The sequence below is a fragment of the Homo sapiens genome, chromosome 11, assembly GCF_000001405.40.
Source record: "Homo sapiens chromosome 11, GRCh38.p14 Primary Assembly".
Classification (NCBI taxonomy): Eukaryota; Metazoa; Chordata; class Mammalia; order Primates; family Hominidae; genus Homo; species Homo sapiens.
Window position 1 is genome coordinate 73035403 of NC_000011.10, and position 1503 is coordinate 73036905.

A 1503-nucleotide genomic window follows, 5' to 3' on the forward strand; every position below is an offset into this window, starting at 1 on the left:
AGCAATCCACCCACCTTTGGCCTCCCGAAGTGCTGGGATTACAGGCATGAGCCACTGCGCCTGGCCATTAACTTGTTTTTATCTTGGATGTCCTCATCTCAGAAATAAAGATAGTTATAGTACCTACTTCATTGTTGCTAAGCAAATGAGTCAGTGTTTATAAAGCACTTGGCCCAATGTATGGCATACATTAAGTGCTTAATACCTTCATCTATTCAATAAGTACTTACTGAGAATTTTCTACAATATGCCAAATGCTATTTTAAGTACTGAACAGTACTGAAATGTTCAGTTTTTATTTATTTATTTATTTATTTATTTATTTATTTATTTATTTGAGATGGAGTCTCGCTCTGTCACCAGGCTGGAGTACAGTGGCGCGATCTTGGCTCACTGCAACCTCTGCCTCCCAGATTCAAGCAATTCTCCTGCCTCAGCCTCCCGAGTAGCTGAGACTACAGGCGTGCACCACCACACCCAGCTAATTTTTGTATTTTTAATAGAGACAGGGTTTCACCATGTTGGCCAAGATGGTCTCAATCTCTTGACCTTGTGATCCGCCTACCTCAGCCTCCCAAAGTGCTGGGATTACAAGCGTGAGCCACCACTCCTCGCCCAGTTTTTATTAATGTTGTTAAAACAAGAATGATCAAATATTTAAGCAAACTTCTTACTTTTAGTTGAAAAAACTAAAGGCTAAGAGTAGACTGGCTTGGACAGGGCTCAAAGTGAACCAGTAGTAAAACTGGGATTAGAACATGGGTCATTTGACTTCCAAGCTTCCCAGTGGAGTTGACCTGTGGGCAGGTTTTAAAGGAAGAAAAATATACAATTAGAAACATTAAAGTATTGGAGCCAACATAATAATTTTGAAATGTGTGAAGGGTAAGAAACAACCAAAGAAGTATAGGAAATAAAAGACAAAAAAAAAAAACCCAAGCTTCATAATCACTATTTTGTACAATATTTCACAACGTTATATCGGTCTTTGGAGTCAAATAAATGTGGGTTCAAATCCAAGCTCTACTATTTATTTATAAATTGACACTGAAAATAATTTCATTAGTCACTTTGAGCTTTAGTTTCCTCAACTGTAAAATGGGCATAATAATGAAACCTAAATTTAATGATGAGTACAATGACTAGCATACTGCAAGTCCCTGATAAATTATAATCATGATTACTGTGATTAAAAACTTTCAATGTCATTATTAAATGTAGAATCAAGTCTATAAATTTTAGTTCTACTTTGGGTATCTTACTGAGTCCAATGAGTAATAGGTAATTTTATTTGTGTATTTATTCATCCGTGTAACAAAGCCTAACTTCTACTATATACAAGGTACTAACATTTCAACCCTCAAGAAGTCTTCCTCCACAAATATTGTGTTCACTCATAATTTTTTCCTCAAACTTTTTATTGATAAAATTTTAAAAACTGAGTACAATTTTCTGTAATACACATATTCTGCTTAATTGAAATTCAAAGTTAGTGTTCCCTAC

General features: G+C 35.3%; 1 protein-coding gene across 5 annotated transcripts in view; it reads right to left on the reverse strand.

The window, feature by feature from the left end:
* FCHSD2 (FCH and double SH3 domains 2) overlaps positions 1–1503 on the reverse strand; it is a 305574-nt gene that overhangs the window by 198658 nt on the left and 105413 nt on the right. The window contains exon 2 of one of the 5 annotated variants that reach the window (XM_047427949.1): positions 675–797. The exons of the other annotated variants lie outside the window; for them this stretch is intronic. The gene's annotated coding sequence lies outside the window, so the exon portion shown is untranslated. The remainder of the gene's footprint in view (positions 1–674; positions 798–1503) is intronic. 5 annotated transcript variants of the gene reach the window in all.